At 35.4% G+C, this 21441-nt stretch overlaps 1 protein-coding gene across 29 annotated transcripts in view; it reads left to right on the top strand.

Moving 5' to 3' along the window:
• The window catches only part of CADPS2 (calcium dependent secretion activator 2), a 568050-nt gene that overhangs the window by 258847 nt on the left and 287762 nt on the right, over positions 1-21441 (top strand). For 28 of the 29 annotated variants that reach the window (NM_001363398.2, NM_001009571.4, XM_047421032.1 and 25 more), the window contains 2 exons: positions 5897-6133; positions 12315-12433. In NM_001363398.2, coding sequence (NP_001350327.1) covers positions 5897-6133; positions 12315-12433 — 356 coding nt within the window. Of the gene's footprint in view, positions 1-5896; positions 6134-10092; positions 10150-12314; positions 12434-21441 lie in introns of those variants that run through there. The other variant, XM_047421034.1, reaches the window with a different exon arrangement.

Below are 21441 nucleotides of genomic sequence, written 5' to 3'. Positions count from 1 at the left end.
AGACGTATTCTCAGGTTCATGACTGAGAAGAAGGTGTGTTCATAAACTCCTGGGCTGAGTCAGAAGAAAGGGTTAGTGATGAACACACAAAGGCTTCTCCTTGAGAGAACCCTAATGGTTTCATCAGAGATGTTGATAGAGTGGAAAAAACATGGAGAAAGAAGTAAAGCTGATGGGGTTGGAAAGCAAAATATACCTCTAAAAATAGGATACCTTTTGATGAAAATATTGACATAGATTGAGCAGGTTTAATTGCTTTCCACTTCAAGTTCACCAAAGTGAAGCCGTCTTAATGAAATATTTTTAAGCCTAATAACAATTGACTGACCTTGCTGAATTATTTTCTGACAATAATCCTACAAACCTTGTAAGGGCAGATGATATCATGAAGTCAATTTTATAGAAGAGGAAATTGAGGCTTAGACAAGATTATTTATTTCACCATGATTACATAACAAATAAGTGGCTGAGGCAGGCCTCAAATCCTGGCCTTGCTTCCAGAGCCTGGGCTCGCTCTCTTAACATCCTGCTGCCTCTGCAATCTGATCATTCCAGAAGAGTGGTTAATAAACAGCTATTAGTTGGCATTCAGGAACACCCCCTCCCACACTTCACAGAACAACACAATATAATAACAGTGAAACTACAGGGCAAAATCTCTGTTTCAAGAGACATGTTGACTTTAGTACTTCAGCCAAGAGGTAATTAGGAAGTAGTGAACAAAATGTGTACAGGGCCAGAAAGACCTGTGACCAAATTCATGATAGCTATTTTCTAAACATAATAGTAGGCACGTTACTTAACACTTTCGAGCCTCATTTTTTCTATCCACAAATTAATTGACCAAATATTTATTGAACACCAACTATACAGCCAGGTGCAGTCTTAGCTACTTGGGATACATTGGGATAAAATGAGACAAAAATATTTCTGCCAGGCCCTGGTGGAGCTTACATTTTATTTGCGATAGCCCCACAATAAGGAGTAAACATGCCGTGTAATTGAATTATGGAAGGTGATCATTGTTACTTAGAAAATAGATCAGAAAAAGTGGGATGAGGAGTGTAGGAGAGAGGTGGTGGGTGGTTACAGTTTTCAGTCAAGTGGTCAGGGCAGGCCAGTTCTTGATAGTACAATCCTTCCAGATATTCAGGCCAAAAAACTTGGAATCATCTTTGACTCCTTTTTCTCATACCTCATGCAAAACTTATCAGGAAATCCTTTATCTTTACCTTCACAGTATTTCCAGAATGTGACAGTTGTTACCATCCTTCCCTTTCCACTGTGGTCCATTCATCTTTGTCTCTTGTCTGGATCATTGTTCTGTCCTTTTAGCCAGTCTCCTGGATTCTACCCCTGTCCTCATTAACACAACAGCCAGTGATGTTCTGCACTAAATCTGTGATGATTCCCTATGTTGCTGAGAAAAAAAGAAAAGTTCCTAAAATGGCCTGCAAAGTCCTGTGTGATCTGGTCTTTGTTACCCCAGTCCTGTGTGATCTGGTCTTTTTTACCCCTCTGACTTTATCCTCCACTAAACTCTTGCCCTTGCTCAATCCACTTTGGCGATGGTGGCCTCCTTGCCTTTCCTTGCCACAGGGTCTTGGCCCTGACTCTTCACCTGCAGCGAACTTCCACTGACATTTACATGGCTTTCTCCCTGCTGTAGTCAGGTTCTCCAGAGAGACAGAGCCAATAGGAGATTATATCTGTATTTTCATATATCTAGACCAATATCTAGGTAGATATAATAAATATGTATATAATATTAAAAAGTAGATGTTATGCATACATACATGTTATGTGTGTATATATATGTGTGTGTGTGTGGGAGGGCAGGGAGAGAGAGAGAGAGAGATTGATTGCGTTCAAGGAATTGGCTCCCACGGCTGTGGGCACTGGCAAGTCCAGAATCCATAGGACAAGTAGGCAGGCTGGAAATTCAGGTGAGGGTTGATGTTACAGTCTTAAGTCTGAAATCTGTAGGGCGGACTGGCAGGTGAGAAACTCAGACAGGGTTTCTGTGTTTTAGTCTTGAGGCAAAATTGCTGCTTCTTTAGGAAACCTTCGCCTTTGGTCATAAATCCTTCAGCTGAGTGAATGAGACCTACCTACAGATGTAGGAGGGTGATCCGATTTACTGAATTTACTGATTGTAAATGTTATTCACGTCTAAAGAATATCTTGATAGCAACATTTAAATTCATGTTTGATCCAACAACTGGGCACCATAGCCTAGCCAGACTGACAAACAAAATTAATTGGGCTAGATGCGGTGGCTCATGCCTATAATCCCAGCAGTTTGGGAGGCTGAGGCGGGCGGATTACCTGAGGTCGGGAGTTTGAGACCAGCCTGACCAACATGGAGAAACCCCGTCTCTACTAAAAATACAAAATTAGCCGGGCGTGGTGGCGCCTGCCTGTAATCCCAGCTACTCAGGAGGCTAAGGCAGGAGAATCACTTGAAACTGGGAGGCGGAGGTTGTGGTGAGCCGAGATTGTGCCATTGCACTCCAGCTTGGGCAACAAGAGCGAAACTCTGTCTCAAAAAAAAAAAAAATAATTAATCATCATACTTCCTTATCCACTTTTAGCTCAAAGGGCATCATCTGCTCATTGAGACCTTCCCCTACCACCCCGTTTAAAGCTGCAACCCTTCTCACCACTCACTCTGTGTTCCTCCTTCTAGACTTTTTCTCCATGCCACTTATGACTTTCTATCAGAAGAAATTATTTCCTTGTTTACTAAGTCTATCAGGACTTTGTCCATTATCTTCATGGTTCTATCCAGGGGCTTGGAGCAGAACACATAGCAGACACTCAGGGAATGTCTATCAAATGACTGAGTCTTACATGCTGGCATATTTGTGAGAAATCTGGGGCTGTGAAGAATTCTTGAATTATTTGTAGACTCCCTCCCTTTTCTCCCACTCAAAGGCATATTTGAATTGAAAGGAAGAGAGAATACCAATATGGTAAGGATAACTGAATCTGCTCTAATTTGTAGCAAAAACATTTAAACACTTCAACGATTTAGTTAGGTTTGGAACCAGCTTCACAGCCAGTAGTTCACTTGATGCCATGATGCTGAGATTAGAACCTAAAATTAATGTGGGGCATGGGAAGCAGCAGAGATCAGCTTAGAGAAACAATCCTGTGATATGAACCCCAGATGTCATCTAATGGAAGGTTAAGAGCGCATAAGAAAAAGTGACTATATTTGAATAATGAGAAAAACTTTTTAAAGAAGCAAATATTGTTTTTGTGTATACCATGGGTTAAGACCACTAGGGACCTATGCTGTACAGAGGACCTAATTAGAACACATGACTTGTAAGAGTGACTCACAGTTAGACAACTAGGAAATAACCCTATTTCTCATTCAATTCTAGTTTAAAACAACAAATTTAAAATGTACATTTGTCTGATATACAGTTAGTTTTGTTGTTTGCCAGTGAGGGACAACACAAGCAGGCTGAATAGAGTTAATGAAATATTATCAATAAACCTCAAAGCTTTAAAACTGAATTTTGAGCTTTTTTGGAGAAAAAAATTCAAGTATAGTCTAGTCCCTGAAATGTTTGGAAATACTGATAAAAGAGCCAATTTTGGAGATGCCTGCTTTTCTCCTGTTTGACAGATGATAGATAGTTCATGAAGTGTTTATAGTTAAAGCTAAATACAAATAGATTATTTTTGTTCTTGTGCTAATGCTAGATTTTCCATAACATGTTGAAAATTTGAAAGCAAAGCGTTAGTATATCAGAACTTTCAGATACGTGACATGCTCGCCTTTTTCTTTGTTAAACTCTACTTTTTTAGGGGTAGAATTGTGATTTTCATATAAATATAAAATGGACACACAATAGAGATTTTATTCAACGCATAATTAATAAGCAAACAAGTTAGGTGTTAAAACCAGACCAAAGAGCATATGAGAAACTAGGTGTTTGGGGGCATTACTAAGGTAAGATTAATGGGGTTTAATCAAAAATTGGTTAATTTCTAATACAGATTTAAACTGAACCTGTGGGTTATATTATTCACCAAACTTTATTTGCACCTCTTTCAGACACAGTTTTACAAGGTAACATGTAGCTTTATTGTCTGGAATCTTTAATCAATAATAAATAATAAGGTGAACTAAGAACTTTTCCCCAAATGATCATTGGATGGCCTTCACCTCCATACGACATTGAAAGGATCTGCCCCCTCATTGCTTTGCCTTATTTCTCAGTTTTGGATGCTTTTTCTGGCAGCCTTAAAGTTAGTCCAAAAACGTAAAATATGTTTTTTATGGATCATTTTGCTTTTTTCCCCTCTCTTTGCTTGTACTGAAAAAATATTCTAAAGACAATTCCTTCCCTCCCCCGCCCCACTAAAGGAAACCCAGGTATTTTATAGCTGGGTAGTTGCCTGTTTTTCTTAAGGATACAAATTTGCTGTTTTGGAATGTTGCTTCAAACTGTAGAGAAATTTTAAAAGGATATTTAAGAACCTTCTTTGGGAAAGTTAATTTTTAATGTAGATATTTAATCTGTCTGTGACATTATGCAATTTTAATTTTGATTATATGTAAATTATTTTAAAAAGAAATATGTGAATGTTATATTGGAGGAGAAGAAAAGCAGGTGGCCTGAGACTCTGGGACTGATCTGTGAAGTGGTGCCAGATGTTCCTTCCAATCCCATGAATGAACTGGTGCAAGTGAGTCAGAGACTAGATGCAGGTTGACAAGAGCATGCTGGATGCTTTCAAATTGTACTACACATGCAGATTTCTTAGGTTAGATTTTGAATGATGTCAAGGGAGACAACAGTAAAGGCAGTGCTTTTCTGGAGCATTCAGCAGCCATTTGAAAGATGGCTGCTTTAGGCTTTCATCCTCCAGCCGGTTCTGTGCACTGGTGGTCATTTTAAACTAGGCTTAATGTTGTAAAACTATATACCCTCTGTCTTTAAGAGAGAAAACCTAAGTGCCAGGTTGGCAAACATTAAAGAAAGAGCCAAGAATGTGAGGGAACAAAGTGCTCTCATTTGCTGTTCTGGGGAATATAAATTTATTATAATCTTCTCTAAGAATGATTCGGCACCATCTAAATATCAATATTTGGAACATCCTTTTAATTGAGCAGAAGAAACAAATCTGATTGCAGAGTTAAAATTATTGAATGGCAATGCTGATATAATTTAGCAAGAAAATAGAATCTTCCAAATTGATATTGTTAATTTTTCCCTTAATAGTTTTTATCATAAATTTCCTTTTGCTTTAAACTTAACTTTTTCTAAGCCTTTAGTAAAAAACTGAATTTATAGCCAGAAGAGATCTTGGCACATTAATGTAATGTGAAAATTTACTAATTTTAGAAATATGACCATATCACTCTTCAATAATGTGAGTTTTTAATGCCTATTTATGAAAAAGCATACTCTTCCAACAACGCATATCTGTGGTAAGAAATTGGGCTATTGTTAAAATGTTTGTTTCCTAACTTGGAAAGCTGTGTGTCCTGAACATTTTTTTATAGACCAGTTATCCCAAGCATCGCAAAGCTACTAGTGGCTAAGGTTCATCTATACGCTAAAATATCTTCCATGCATGTTTTCAGAGTTTGTTTTTCCTTAAGCAAATCTTATCACAAATAAATTTAATGTGAAAATATATGCGATTTTTTCATTTTGTACTGCAGTGATCCTCAATAAGATATCTGAAGTACCATAGATATAATCAAAAATGCCAAAGCCTGAGGATTTTACAGCCTAGTGACTCAAGTAGGATAGATATATTGAGAGTGTTGTAATTTCTAAGACAGTGAAGTATATATATCATACAATTTTGTATGATAAAATTGAAATATGACTTATGTAACACTATTATTTTAAAAATTATTTTCAAGGAAAGAAAATTCCCCAAATTTATAGCAAAAGATATGGAGAATATGTATATAGAAGAGTTGCGGTCTTCAGTGAATTTGCTAATGGCCAATTTGGAAAGTCTTCCAGTTTCGAAAGGTGGTCCGGAATTTAAATTACAAAAATTAAAACGTTCACAGAACTCTGCATTTTTGGACATAGGAGATGAGAATGAGATTCAGCTGTCAAAGTCCGACGTGGTACTGTCATTCACCTTAGAGGTAAGTAGCTTTATCTCATGCTCACCTCTGACAGCATAAATGATGATGCACAATAATTTCTGTTGACCTTTGCAGTAACTTTTAGAATTTAAAACAGTGTAATATATGTTGGAGATGTTAAATTATTCTCCATTTGTTGGACACTCAGCTTATATATGCAAATGAATGCAAATTTTCCTTTAAACATAACAACAATATTAGGATTAAATAAAATAATAGAAGTTTTAAGGCAAGTCTTCTTTATGCCAGCGAGGCTATTGTAAATTTACTGATAAAATAAGATGAGCATTGGGGCTCACACCTGTAATCCCAGCACTTTGGGAGGCCGAGGCGAGAGGATCACTTAAGCCAAGAAGTTTAAGACCAGCCTAGGCAACATAGTGAGACCCTGTTTCTAAAAAAAAAAAATTATCCAGTCATGATGATGTGAGCGTGTAGTCCCAGCTACTTGGGAGGCTGAGGCGGAGGATTGCTTGAGCCCAGGAGGTTGAGGGTACATGGAATGGTGATCATGACACTGCATTCCAGCCTGGCTGACAGAGTGAGACCCTGTCTCAAAAATAAAACAATAACAAAAATTCATTGATAAAATAAGCATCAAAACGCACGTGGGTAGAAATAGCAATTCAACATATAATTGAATTCTTTGTAATTTGGGAATTCCTTTCAGATTTTTGGTTAACCTTTCTTTTTAAATCTACTTTACCCATAGGATCATTTTTCTAGGATCATATCAAATAAGCCAGTTCTAATGCACATTATTAGGTATCATGGATGATGAGAAATAGATAATTCTTTTTCAGGACTTCAAGTTTTATTACAGGCACTGTACATATTAGAGCAAGAAGAAAAGTCATACATTTAAAATTGTGTTCTCCAAAACTTCAGAATTTCATTATTTTATGCAAATCACTGGGAACCAAAGACTAATACTCTTTGTACAGCTTTCTGTTGATGGTTTACATGATATCTCTTCATTGATGATGTGTGTATGTGGGCTTATCTAGTTATATGTCTGTGGGTTTGTACACCACAACACATACACACATACACACACACACCTGACATCTTTAGTTCCTAGGAGAAAGAACTTATGTCAGGCATTAAGATAAAAGATTATAACATAATAATTAGGAGTATCAAGTCACCATTTGGCTTAAACTTAAGCTTCCCCTCCCCATGATTTTTATTCCGTGAGTAAATAGTAACAATGTGACACTTTAATTCATAGCTCTCTCAAAAATTATATTGAGGCTTATAGCTCATTCTTTTTATCCTCTCTGCTGGTTCCCAGTGCTGCCATTTGCATTTGCTGATTGACAAAGAAAAGTAAATACAGTCTTACGAAGAACAGTTTTCAATTTTTTTATTGAAACTTCACTTCCTTAGTTTATGGCAGAAAAAGAAAACTTTGATTTTTATTCTTTTTTCTCCATATATTTAACTCTGAGATAAATTCAAACTTCAGGACATCTGCCTCTCACTTTCTTGACTTCAGGATTAATGATTTATTTGTAGGTTAATGGATTAAACTTAGTGTCAGATTAGAACTATGAGTCTTTCTTCTGACTCAAGATTCAATTCTGGGCTTACCTAATGACTTTGCCAAATGGTTTCACTACTGGGTTTCTTCTTAGCCTTTTCAGCCTTTTGACATAAGGATGTCTAATTTGAAACTACATAGCATGTTACCTATAGAATTTCCTCATTATTCCTGTCTCAGATCTCCTGCTGAGTGAAATACAAAACGTCAACTTTTTCTGTTTTTTAAGGCTTTATACAAAACACAATTCGTCCCTTAATTATAGTATAACTTTTTCCAACAAGAGTTTATCTTATTTATTTATTTGTTTGGAGACTGAGTCTCTCTCTGTTGCCCAAACTGGAGTACAGTGGCACTATCTCTGCTCACCACAACCTCCACTTCCTGGGTTCAAGTGATTCTCCCGCTTCAGCCTCCTGAGTAGATGGGACTACAGACATGCAACACAATGCCTGGCTAAATTTTTTTTTTTTTTTTTGTATTTTTTAGTAAAGATGGGGTTTCGCCATGTTGTCCAGGTTGGTCTCAAACTCCTGAGCTCAGACAATCCACCCAAAGTGCTAGGATTACAGGCTTGAGACACCGTGCCTAGTCTATAATTTAAATTTATTGATGAAAAAAATAATTTGTAGAGCAAATAACTTTTATAATTTACAAATCTACCATTATCTTTATATGTAAACATTCAGAACTAAAAGTTCAGAACATTTTATCTTTTCTCTATTGTTCAAAAATCTTAAACAATTGTAATAATTAACTTCTTATGAATTATATTTTGCCTGTTGAAAACAAAATTAGGCTGCTGAGTCAATGTTTAAGTGAAATTATGAATTGTTATTCTGTGCTTTATTGCCAATATGTTTAGGAGGGCTGTTGAGTTGGCAGTAGGTTGTTAGGCAGAGAATATGAGCTAAAACTTCACTTTGCATGGTCTGAGAAGTTTGCATATTTATAAAATTGTTTTGACATCCTCTGTTGCTATGTCTATCTAAGGCAGATATTTTCCTACCATAGCATAATACAAATCTGTTCTCAATGTCCACAGTATTTTAAGCAGGAGTTATGTGTCCAGCAACAAAGTAAAATCGTGTTAAGTGACGATGGTGCAGTGCATGTTTATAGGACACCAGAGAGAATAGATATGCCTCTAGTCACAGGACCTGTGACATCAGCCAAGCTAAACTGAATAATTATCTCTAGTCCTTTCAGCAAGCCTTGCTCCTCAGACCCCATATTTCAGCCTAAGAAGACTCTGAAAGGCAAGCAGTTAAATCAATTTAAAGCTCACACATTTCATTAGTCAGGCTTAGAAGTGGTCCAGTGGAGGAATCTTTTCTAAGAACTATACTGAGTCGAAGGAATAAAGTGCAGATTTGAAAAACTCTCCTCAAATTTCACCTTCTCTTTAAAATTGCTCCCACCCCTCCCTTCTCCCACCATACCCTATTCCCTTACCAAGTTCAGTTTTTGCTGTAGTACTTACCAACTAACATATAGTTCAGTTATTTATTGTGTTTATTGTTAATTAGCTGGCTTTCTCTACTAGAATATAAGTTGCAGGAAGGTTATATTTCTTTCTCTTTCTTTTTTGTTTACTGAAGTATTGAAAGTGCCTAAACAGTGCCTAGCACACAATTGACTCAATAAATACTTACTGGATTAAGGATTTTTATGGTATCAAAAAAACAGCCGTTCAGGATTACTTTTAGGTATCTCTGTTCATTAAGGCTTCAGAAGAAATATTAAAGCAAGAGATGAGCCAATCCACAAAACGCTAAGCTGTTCAATAATGTTAAATGTTCAAGCAATACTAGAAAAACAAACGTTCACTTAAGAAGTGGAAAGTGGGGGAATGTTATCAGTGGCATGAATATAGTTGATTTTTTTTTTTTTTGAGATGGAATCTTGCACTGTCGCCCAGGCTGGAGTGCAGTGGCACGATCTCGGCTCACTGCCAACCTCCGCCTCCCAGGTTAACACCATTCTCCTGCCTCAGCCTCCCTAGTAGCTGGGACTACAGGTGCCTGCCACCAAGCCAGGCTAATTTTTTGTATTTTTAGTAGAGACAAGGTGTCACTGTGTTAGCCAGGATGGTCTCGATCTCCTGAGCTCATGATATGCCCGCCTTGGCCTCCCAAAGTGCTGAGATTACAGGCGTGAGCCACTGTGCCCGGCTTATAGTTGATTTTTTAGACTGAATTCTTTCATTGATATTAGGCTAGCAGATCCCATGACTTTCTCTATGTTTGGTGCTATATGGTCCCCAATTTCACCATATTGCCCAGTGTCATTTTTTTTATAAACTACACATGCTTAAATGTCTCCTAACTCTGTGGTCAGTGTTTCACTTGGAAGAATGTTACCTAGTTTCACATTTTATACATGCCTCTCTTCTTTTTACTTCTAGGACAACTTTATTTTATGCTTATGACATCAGCTACAGAGAGACTGGGGAAGAGAAGATGAAAAATAGGTCAGTTTAGCTTCTGTAGGTCCATTAGCAAGTTTTGCTGGGAATTGAAACACTTAAAATTAGATTAGCTGATGGTCCATGGAATTCTTGGCTGTCTTTATCACTAATTATTAAGGCCACCTATGTTTTATTTTCCTTTTGGATATCAGATCTGTAGAATCATATTGTTTTATTTATACATATAGATTCATCACAGAAGCTGTATCTTTTGAAAATGACGATTCTGCAGGGTAAAACGTTCCCAGCACAGTTGGAAGTATTGTTTTGAAAAGCAGAGTACTGTTTCACAAGTTGTATGTTTTAGGAGGTCATGTTTACAGTAGCTTATAGTAGAGGTGACAGAAATAATGTCAAGCAGATGCTTCCTTTCTTGCATTTGGGTTATTTAAACACACTGCAGAAAGAGATGCAGTGTCAACAATAATATTCTGAAATATGAAGCAATGCTCTTACGATTTCTAGATTTGTGCTACACAATTCTGTTGTTTCATACATTTTAAATGACCATCAAACATTTTTATTATTAAGAAGTTATTAGAGAAATGGTGGTAAGTCCAAGTGTAGTTGCCTTTTAATTAATATGGTTATATATTTGATTTATCTCAGCTTCTGGTTTCATTTTGTATAAGAATCTAACAAATTTCCATATTACTAACAAAAAATCTGAGTCATTAAAAATGCATAACTTCCTTTGCTTATTTTCTTTAATCAAGATTTAGTATTTCATCCCAATTTCCCTGATGAGTATTAGAACAGCTGTGAAAGATACTGCTTTTCTCTATCAATTCTCCATTAATTTTCTTAGTCTGTTTTCAGTTAAGTCCTGATTTTGATTCATATGTTGGTATGTATTTCCATGTGAGAAAATGACAAAAGCCCTGGATGAGGAAGAAAACTTGTTCTGAGTTTGACCTTTTATTTTATTGATAAATAACTGAGTGATCAGTTTCCTATATATTTTATGAAAACAAAATTTAACAAAAAACAAATACACATTCATATTTACAAACATGACCCTTCTCTTGTAACAGAGCTGAAAGGAAGAACACTTTTAAGATGGTTTGTTTTTTGAGCCCTTTTGGATCAAAATTCTTATCATGACTCTAAAAAATGTGATGACTGTAATAAAGTATTACATGATCAGTAACTGATACAGATTATGTTTATGATAGATGTTTTGGTCGCTGCATAACATGAGTTTTATTATTGTTTGTGCAAATACCACATGGGATCAATTAAGACATCAATGTACATATATAAAAATGCATTTTAATCTATTTTATAAATTAAATTTTGAGAATTTAGAAGAGTTCATGATGCAACTTTTGATTGAAAACGCTATGGTAAATAATATTCATATTTGATACATACATCCAATAAGAATGATAGGTTACAGTGTTTTAAGATTGGCAGCCTCTTCGACAAACATTAAAAAGCACACATAAAAAATATATGTTGTCCTTTCTCCCAGGAGTTACAAGTACATAAGGCAATATCAGTTTTTCCACCCTTTTCCAGTGTACTGAATTAAATTAGTACATATCTTTAATGGATAGAAAAAATATTTTTTCTTACCAAGTTAGTATTAAAATGTTCAGTGACAAATTATAATTTTCTATTTAATAAGACACAGTCCATAAATTAAACTCTTTTACAGACAATAATAGTAATCTCAAATAAGTGAATATAGAAAATTTCTGATATCACATATTGATATCAGTGAGTTAGTATGATGGTATCAATGTTTACCAATAATATATACTATATTATTTTATATGGTACTTATCATGTACTGCTGTTATCATCTGCACTGAATTTTCATTTGTGATTCTGCTTAATGTGCAGACTTGCCTTAATTTGTTAAGGATCTGAGTTTAAATTTCATTTAATTCACTATGGCTTATATTTATGACATTTGACCTTACTTTTATTTGTATCTGGCAGCAGATATATTTTCAGTTACCAGATTTCCTAAAAATGTTATTTATTATACCTTCTATGAATAGAGGTGGATTATAAAGAAGATAAAATACCAGTGATGTTAACAAAAAACAAATTTTTTTTCAGTTTTGTCAATCTTCCTTATTACAGTTCATGCTGCTGTTTATGTATATTGCTAAATGTTATCAACTTGATGCATTATTTTAAAATCATTTTATCTTTAGATTGTCATAATGGAAGTGCAAGGCCTGAAGTCAGTTGCTCCCAATCGAATTGTTTACTGTACAATGGAAGTGGAAGGAGAAAAACTTCAGACAGACCAGGCCGAAGCCTCAAGGCCACAGTAAGCCAGTTGAAAAAAGTGTATTATTGTTGTTGTTTGTTTTTTTAATCCTCCCAAAGAAACATGCTCTGTTTATGTGCATAAATGTGTGGTATTACCCTCTAAAACTGCTATTTGGCTAACTTTGTCTCAAATGTGTTAGAACTAGTGTGTCCCTTTCTAGATAATGATGTTATAATTGGAATTTTGGCAGAATCCCTGTGTAGTACAAACAGAAAATCCAACATGCAAATGCAAAGCTAATCATTAGGCAATAAAACATTTATAAGTCATTTCTAAGGAAAGCAAATTTTATCACCATGTGTTATTTGAAAGGTAATACATAATCCTATTTCAGTTCTGAGAATTGTATAATAGCCTTTCCATTTTTGTCTGTTATAGTTTTTGGTGATGTAACAGTAGATACCATGATTCTGCACAATGACTTGGAATACTTAGTGAGCGGGCTAGAGAAGCAGTTAATGTACGACTACCGCACGATATTCAGAGCATAAAGCTGCTTTTTGCCAACAGTTTGATGTTTCAGGTTCTGGCAATGAGTTAATTAAATTAGTAAGTGTTCGCTTTAATTCATTCAAACTTGGGGAACCATCATGGTCTCTAGTAGAAACAACCAGGTTGGCCTGAGGAATTCAGATTCAATTTGCTTGGCCTTCATTTGTGCATTACCTTTAGAAAACATTTTTTTTCTTCTATTTAATCTTTATTCTAAATATCTTATAGGATTTAGGATTTTGCCTTATTATAATACCAATATGTGACCTGTTCATTCAGGAAACCTCTGTTGAGATCCCAAATAGGCACTGAAGATATATGAGAAATGTTCATTTTCTTTAGAGCAGGCAGGATAGGGAGATACAGAGGGTTATGTGTAACAGAAAAGAGGTGCACAGAGTATTAGGGGGTTGAAAAGAAACAAGTTGAAGCTTCTCATCCTAACCTACAAATCCCTACAGGCCTGCCCTTGACCAATCTCTCATGACCTCTGGGATCTCACCTTCTCCCTCTGTTCCCCCGATCTTCTGCAGTTCATCCACCCTGGACTTCATGCAGTCCCTCATACACTTATCCACCCATTCTCAGTGTCGCACTTGCTTTCCCGTCTGCTTGTAGTCATCTTCCCTCTTATCTTTGTATAGCTGCTTTCTTGGCATTGAGAATCTCAACTTAACCATCACTGAGAATAATCCTTCCCTTTAACCCAGTGGGAGGTGTACATTTTCTGGCTGACCACTTTTTAATTTTGGGACTGTGTTAATTACCTGTTTATTTTGCAATGTATTTCCTCCTGAGAAAAGGGCAAAACATCTTATCCTATTTAATCTTATATCTGAGTACTTAGTAAGCATCCAAGCGGAATTATTAATTCAATCGACTAAACTTACTTTTGTGACCTAGTCACAGTATATATTTGGGGGTAATATATTAGTATATTCACAGAATTGTGTAATCATCACCACTATCCAGTTTTGAATATGCTCATCATCTCAAGAAAAAAAAAAAACTGTACCCTTTAGCTATCAACCCCCAACCAATCCAGCCTTAACCAACCACTGATTTACTTTCTGTCTCTTATAGATTTATCTATTCTGGACATTTCGTATAAATAGAATTATATACAGTCATGTGTTACTTAACAGCAGGGATACATTCTGAGAAACGTGTCATTAGGTGATTTTGTTGAACATCATAGAGTATACTTATACAAGCTGATATGGTATAAATATCTTCCATATATATATATTTCATATGGAAAGCTAAATGTCCTAGCACCATTACAATTTTCTTGCCTGACGTGCAATGCCAGTATCAAGTGCCATATATCAAGTTTATTCAAGTGCTTTGCCCATTTCTGTTTTCTCAAGTTTTAAGAGTTCCTCTATTTTGGATACTAGGCCCACATCATATATGTGATTTGCAAATCTTTTCTCTCATTCTGTGAATTTTTTTCACTTTCTTGATTTGTATTTTGAAACACAAAATTTTGATGAAGTTTAATTTATTTTTTTCTTTGTTGCTTGTGCTTTTGTTGTCACCGCTAAGAATTCATTGCCAAACCTAAGGTCACTAAGATTTAGCTCTGTGCTTTCTCCTGAGACTTTCATAGTTTTATATTTAGGTCACTGATCCATTTTAGGTTGATTTTTGTATATGGTGTAATGTAAGAGTCCAGCTTCCTTCTTTTACATGGAACTATTCAGTTGTCCCAACACCATTTGTTGAAAAACCTATTCTTTCCTTATTAAATGTTCTTTTTATCCTTTTTTGAAAATCAGTTGACCATAGATACATGAATTTGTTTCTGGACTCTCAATTCTGTTTTACCAATCTATATGTCTATTCTTATGCCACTACCACACTTTCTGGATTACCATTGCTCTACCATTGCAGTAACTTTTGAAATCAGGATTGCAAGTCCTTCACCTATGTTGCTTTTGAAGATTGTTTTGGCTATTCTGAAATTTGATATGAATTTTAGGAAGAGTTTATCAACTTTTGTAAAGATTATGCAAAGATTACCAGCTGAGATTCCAGTAGGGATTATGTTGTAACTGTAGGTCAATTTGGAGCATACTGCCATCTTAACAATATTAAGTCTTCTGATCCACACATATGGGATGTCTTTCTATGTATTTAGACCTTCAATTTCCCTTTCAACAATGTCTTGTAGTTTTCAAAGTAAAAGTTTTATTTTTTTGTTACATGTATTTCTATTATTTTATTCTTTTTTATGCTATTTTGAGTTGAATTGTTTTCTTAATTTTATCTTTAAATCATTCAAGTTATTAGAAATATAATTATTTTTGTATATAGATTTTATATGCATCAATCAACCTTACTGAGCTTGCTTATTAACTTTAAAATTTTTAGTGGATTTTGTAGACTTTTCTATGTACAAGACCATGTCATCTGCAAATACTGATAGTTTAACTTCTTCCTGTCTAATTTAGATTTCCATTATTTATTTTTTTTGACTAATTGTTTCCAGTTCAATGTTGACTATAAGTGGTAAGAAAAGGCATGTTGGTGTTGTTCCTGATCACAGGGGGGAAGCATATAATCCTTTATAATTAAATCTGATTTTAGCTCTGAATTTTTAATAGAAACTCTTAGCAGTTTAAGGAAGTTCATTTCTATTCCTAGTTTATTGACTGTTTTTATAATGAAAAGGTGTTTGATTTTGTCAAATGCTTTTCCTACATCTATTGAGATGATCATGTGGATTTTGTCTTTTATTCTGTTGATATGATGTAATACATTATTTGATTTTCAGGTGTTAAATGAACCTTGCATTCCTTGCACAATTCCCACTATCATAATATAGGATTTTTAAAATTTGTCACTGGATTTGGTTTTCTAGTGCTTTGTTGAAGTTTTTGGCCTCTATATTCATAAGAGATATTGTCCTTGTAATTTTTTTGTGTGATATCTCTGATTTTGTTATCAGGGTAATAGTGGCCTTGTAGAATAAGTTTTAAGTGGACCCTTCAATTTTTTTCAAAGGTATGAAGAATTTGTATTTTTTAAAAGCATTTGGTAGAATTCACCAGTGGAGCCATCTGGGACTGAGCTTTTCTTTGGTAGTAATTCTCTGATTATTAATTTGATCTCATGTTATAGATCTATTCATTGTCTTTCTTTTGAGTCATTTTGTGTTTTCCTGTTATGTTGGTGCAAAAGTAATTGTGTTTTTTGCCATTAAAAGTTAATGCCATTAATTTTTCAATTCATCCAAGTTCTCTAATTTATTGTTACACATTTGATCATAGTTTTTGTAATTATTTTTAGTTTCTATAAGGTCAGTAATAATGTCCTCTTTTCCGTTTCCGATTCTAGTAATTTGAATAGCCTTTCTTTTTTCTTAGCCCATCTAACTAAAAGTTTGTCCATTAAAAGACTATTTTAAATAACATTTCTAGGATGATTTCTTGGACTCTCTCCTATTTTTCTGTTCTCTATTTTATCTTCATTCTGCACTATTTACTTCCTTCTATTTTAGGTTTAGTTTGCTCTCATTTTTACAGTGTGTTAGGTGAAAGGTTAGGCTTTTGATTTGAGATCTTTCTTTTTTCTTAAAATAGGCAATTGCAGCTATAAATTTCCCTCTAAGCGCTGCTTTAGTTGCATTTGTAAGTAATGATATGATCTCTCTTCATTTTCATTCATCAAGGTGCCTTTGATCAGCAAAATATTTTGTTTCTGTAGTAAATAGAGTCAATGGAAGAAGATTCTTAGCTGCAGGGAATACAAGCCCCAGGTCCTACCATGTCACTCCAGTGGCCGAGAGAATTGAAGTCTTGCCAGTTCTGAAACCCATTGGAAGAACACTAGTGTACCACCACTTGTTGGGAAGCTCTTTCATGGTCCTTAGATTATTTTATTAATTCTACTCTACTAATCCATGAGATTTTGAGGGAGTGCAACTTCTCTAATAATCTCAATGCCATGGTTTTTTTTCCCCACATAATCTTCTCTGTTTTATTTAGGTATAAAATAAAATTCATCTATTGTAGATTAGATGATTTTTAGTAAATTTATACATTTGTGCAGCTATCATCAAAATTCAATTTTTAAACATATCACTTCAGAAAGTTCTGTCATGGCCATTTGCAGTCTATTCCTGCTCCCACTCTCAGTTCCAGGAAACCACTCATCTATTTTCAGGCTCTGTAATTTTACTTTTCCTGGATAGTTTGTAAAAATGGAATCATGCAATATGTAGTCTTTGTATCTGGATTTTTTTTTTTGCTTATCGTAGTTTCTACAGAATCTTATATTTAATTGATACTTAAATATTTGGTTCGTGAGATCAATTAACTTTTATCTGAAGTTACGTTATTTTAACACTTTTTTTTTACAAATAGTAAAAGTTTCATGGGCTGTTATTTAATTTTCAATATATTCATAATGTATTTGAAAGGGCTTCTGATATTGGGGAACAAGTGCATGAACAATATAAGTGAACTAAAATACTTTGAAACCTGAGAGGAAGTATTATAATAAGCCCCCAGTGCTCTTTTTTTTTTTTATTACTCTTTCTATAAGGAAATTTGTCTGATTTAAAATAGCCTTTAATTTAAAATAGCCTTTCTGTGTTTCCCCACGAACACTGAGTTAACTTTTTAAATAAATTAAGAGATTTGTATTTATCATGGTATCCCAGGGGCAGATTACCTTAAAAAGGTATCTCATGAATGCTAACCAACTGCAGCTTTTTAGCAGTGTCACAGTGTCGTTACTTTCATCCTGAACTCATCTTGCATGACAGGAAAGAGATTCATCTCCTCCATCATCATAGTGGATTATGTCTCAGACACGTTTTCCAAATTTTAATGCTTCAACAGTTTGTGCTTTGTTGGAGATAAATTCATCCTTCTGTCTGATACTAATTATAGTGCCTTATTTAGTCCGTATTTCCAATACACTTAATCAAGATTTCTGGCCATTACCTATTTCCTTCCTGTAGTTCTGATTTCCTGCCAGCAATTAGGAGGAAACAGCGTGTGAGGTTGGTACATAACCTAGAATATAGGACCTGGGGTCTAATAAACATGGTATTGATAGACACGTTTGATTTACAAAGAGTAACGGTGAGGCAATGTAATTTGTGAAAGTTTCATTTTAATTTTTATTTTGTAAAATAGGGAAGAGAGTGTGGATAAACTGTATTTTTCAGTTATGGAGAAAATTCCTGTTATTTATGGATTTTTAAGTCATTGTTTCATAGTCTCTTAGTAAACCAGGAAAAGTTTTGTATGAATGAGATACGGAGGAATTGTTTCTACACTTTTATAGCATTTTACCCTTTCCAGACATTTCATTTATTTTAATGTTAGTGCATACCCTTAATGATACCACTGAAAAGGAAATGGAGGGATAGTAGGAGGGATGACCAGCTGTGGGGTGGTGAAGGGAGAATAAGATTTGTTATTTTCATATAGTAGTCCTAAATTTCCTTATATGTACTAGTCTTTTATTCCCTCCAAGTGTTAAGTATCCTTTGAGTGCCTAAACAAACTCAGGAGCTAGTAATACCCTATGGAAGGTGAAGATAGATCTTGGTGCCAGGAAAATAAGGAAATTCATTATTAAAAACAAATAGGGAAAAACATTTAGCATGATATCGAACCTCTTTTTTAATTTTGTCATTTTTTTGTAGAGATGAAGTCTCACTATGTTACCCAGGCTTGTCTCAAATTCCTGGCCTCAAGCAATCCTCCCACCTCAGCTTCCCAAAGTGCTGGGGTTACAGGTGTGAGCTACCATACCCAGCCTTGAAATCTAACCTCTTAACAAATTTTTAAGTGTCCAGTGCAGTACCACAATAAAATATAAGTGCACTGATAATCACAGTAGGCAATTAAATATCAGTAACATTTGTTAGAGAAAAAAATAAAAACACCAGGAAGCCACACTGGGTTTTTGCCACCCTCTCTGTCTCTCCTTCATCCCATAGTGCTGTTTTATTAAAAGCATTTGAAGATTAATGGGTCTCTACTGCCCACCACCTGAAAGTAATAAAAAGACAAGAAGCAATAAGAAAAACTAATGAATTGTGTGTCATTAGAGAACTACATTTATGGATATTATGATAGAGCATCCATTTGCCTCATGAAAATGATGGGAAATACAGTCTCCAGTACCAACTTCTGGAAACTTTAAATTCTTAACCAGAATTGTAATATCTGTCAAACTATTGAAAGAACATTGCAGCTACAAATGGAATGCTTATCAGAATGGCAAGGTACTGAGACAATGTTTAAGAGAGATTAAATACAGACTGCATATAAACCAAGATAATCTAACCGTGCTTTTTAAAAGCATATTAGTTTCCATTTTAATTCAGTAATGTCAGAATTATTTTTGAAGTATAATTCATTAGTCAGATACTCTTATAGACTAGAGATAAAATATGCTACATTTTTATATGATCTATCAAAAACTGTGCCTTCTTTTTTTTTTTTTTAGACGGAGTCTCGCTCTGTCACCAGGCTGGAGTGCAATGGTGCACTCACAGCTCACTGCAATCTCCGCCTCCTGGGTTCAAGCAATTCTCTGCCTCAGCCTCTTGAGTAGCTGGGACTACAGACATGCACCACCACACCCAGCTAATTTTTGTAGTTTTAGTAGAGTCAGGGTTTCACTGTGTTGGCCAGGATGGTCTTGATCTCTTGACCTCGTGATCCACCCACCTCGCCCTCCCAAAGTGCTGGGATTACAGGTGTGAGCCACCGCTGTCAGCCAACTGTGCCTATTTTTAATGAACCAAAGGCAAAACACTCAAACCACACAAAAGTTTTCTCTCCTCTCATTTCCATCTTCAAAATCATGACAGATTGCTTCTTTTTATATAAATAAATTCATTAGAAGTAACATTTCTCTAAGACCGATAGGGTTGGTGCAGAACAAAATGAAGCCTAAAGAGATAAGCATTAGCCAAATACAGAAATTTACATTCATTGAGAATTTATTTATAATAAAGGGAGCAATCTGGGGATCTTTAAAATGAGAGGCATCTGAATTAATAAGAAAATATGATGGATTTAGATTCCAGATGTTAGCTGAAGAGCATTCATGAGCTCCAGTGAAAAACAGCATGAGAAAATTTGGGAGAAAGTTTATAGAATTATGATTAGTAGTATTTGTTGTTGATTTACAGCTTGAAATCACGTCCCCTTATATACTGTGACAGTTTTTTCGGAAAAGTCTTTTATAGTTTTCGTTATTACTTGATTTGGTTTATGTAACAAATTAGTGAGTGGTCTAAATTTGGAAGGGCTTAAGTAGGAAGCTTAATTCTTACCACAGCACAATCCTTAGGTACTCTAGGATCTCTCTCTCTCATACCATCCTTGAAGACATCTTTGCAGATACCATACCTTTTCTGGTTATTTTGGGTATTAAATAACATGTTCAGGTACTAAATTTTTCAGAACAGTTTAAACCAAGACTTACACATTTCAAAACCTTTTTTCTTTCCTTCTAAATCACTCAGAAACCTGTAGTGGGAAAAAGGGACTTTAGTCCCTTTTATCCATTCTTGCTTTTCCTGATCGTCTAATCTGTCTACAACATTTGTTTAGGATTGCAGTTGGTAGGAAGGGGAAGAAGGCGTGAAATGTCTATGTATGTAGGTGCTTTTGTAGTTCTCTCTTGGTTAGCAAATGCCGTTTGTCATATCAGGTGTCCACATGTAACTCTTCTCCGATGAATTCTTAGCAGTTCTCCCACTGCCAGGGACCTCTAACATCACAACATTCCCTCGCCAAATTATACATCCTATGGCTGCCCTCTTTCCTCTTCCCCTGGGCTACTGATTTAATAATATAGACTGTGTGTCCTCTTTCTGCTTAAATTTCATTTCCTTAACAGATAGCTCAAATAAGGTGGAAGATCCTTGAAGACAAGGGCTGTGTATTATACCTTCTTTTTCCCCATTAGCACCAGCCACAATAGTATGGCTCAGTAGGCACTCAGTACTCTAATCATACTACTTTTTGTACTATTTAGAGTATTAAAAAAAGCCTCTCAGTCGGTCTCAGACTATGACACTTGGCCCAGCATCTGCCCAGATTGGTAGAAAGTCCAGTCCTCATTCTCCTACCCCAAGCTCCAATTTTTCTAGAAGTTCCATGTGAAAGATATTCACCATAAAGGGCCAATTCTTTTTCTTGTGTGTGTTCAATTTAGGCCCTAGTTCCATGGTCACTTCCAGACCTTTGCTACCCTAACTGGGACGATGTTTTTCAAACTATGAGGCTACCTGGATAAGCAAGACAACTTCCCCAGGAATACATAGGCACATGTATATTTTTAATAGGACTGAGTAGGAACCCTCTAATTCTGTAAGTACCCTTTCCTAAAGGTCTTCTGCTCAGTCTCATTCTCAGCCTGCCTTTCACAGTCATCCTTCTCCCGCTTTACAAAGGAAAGGTACAACTCTCACTTAACTCAGGTTTTAACAGTGGTGATTCTTGTCCCAGAGTGGAAAAACCTCCAGGGTACCG

This window comes from Homo sapiens, chromosome 7 (genome assembly GCF_000001405.40).
Source record: "Homo sapiens chromosome 7, GRCh38.p14 Primary Assembly".
NCBI classification, from domain to species: domain Eukaryota; kingdom Metazoa; phylum Chordata; class Mammalia; order Primates; family Hominidae; genus Homo; species Homo sapiens.
Note: the sequence above shows the minus strand (reverse complement) of the source record. Positions and strands in the feature narration are given on the sequence as shown.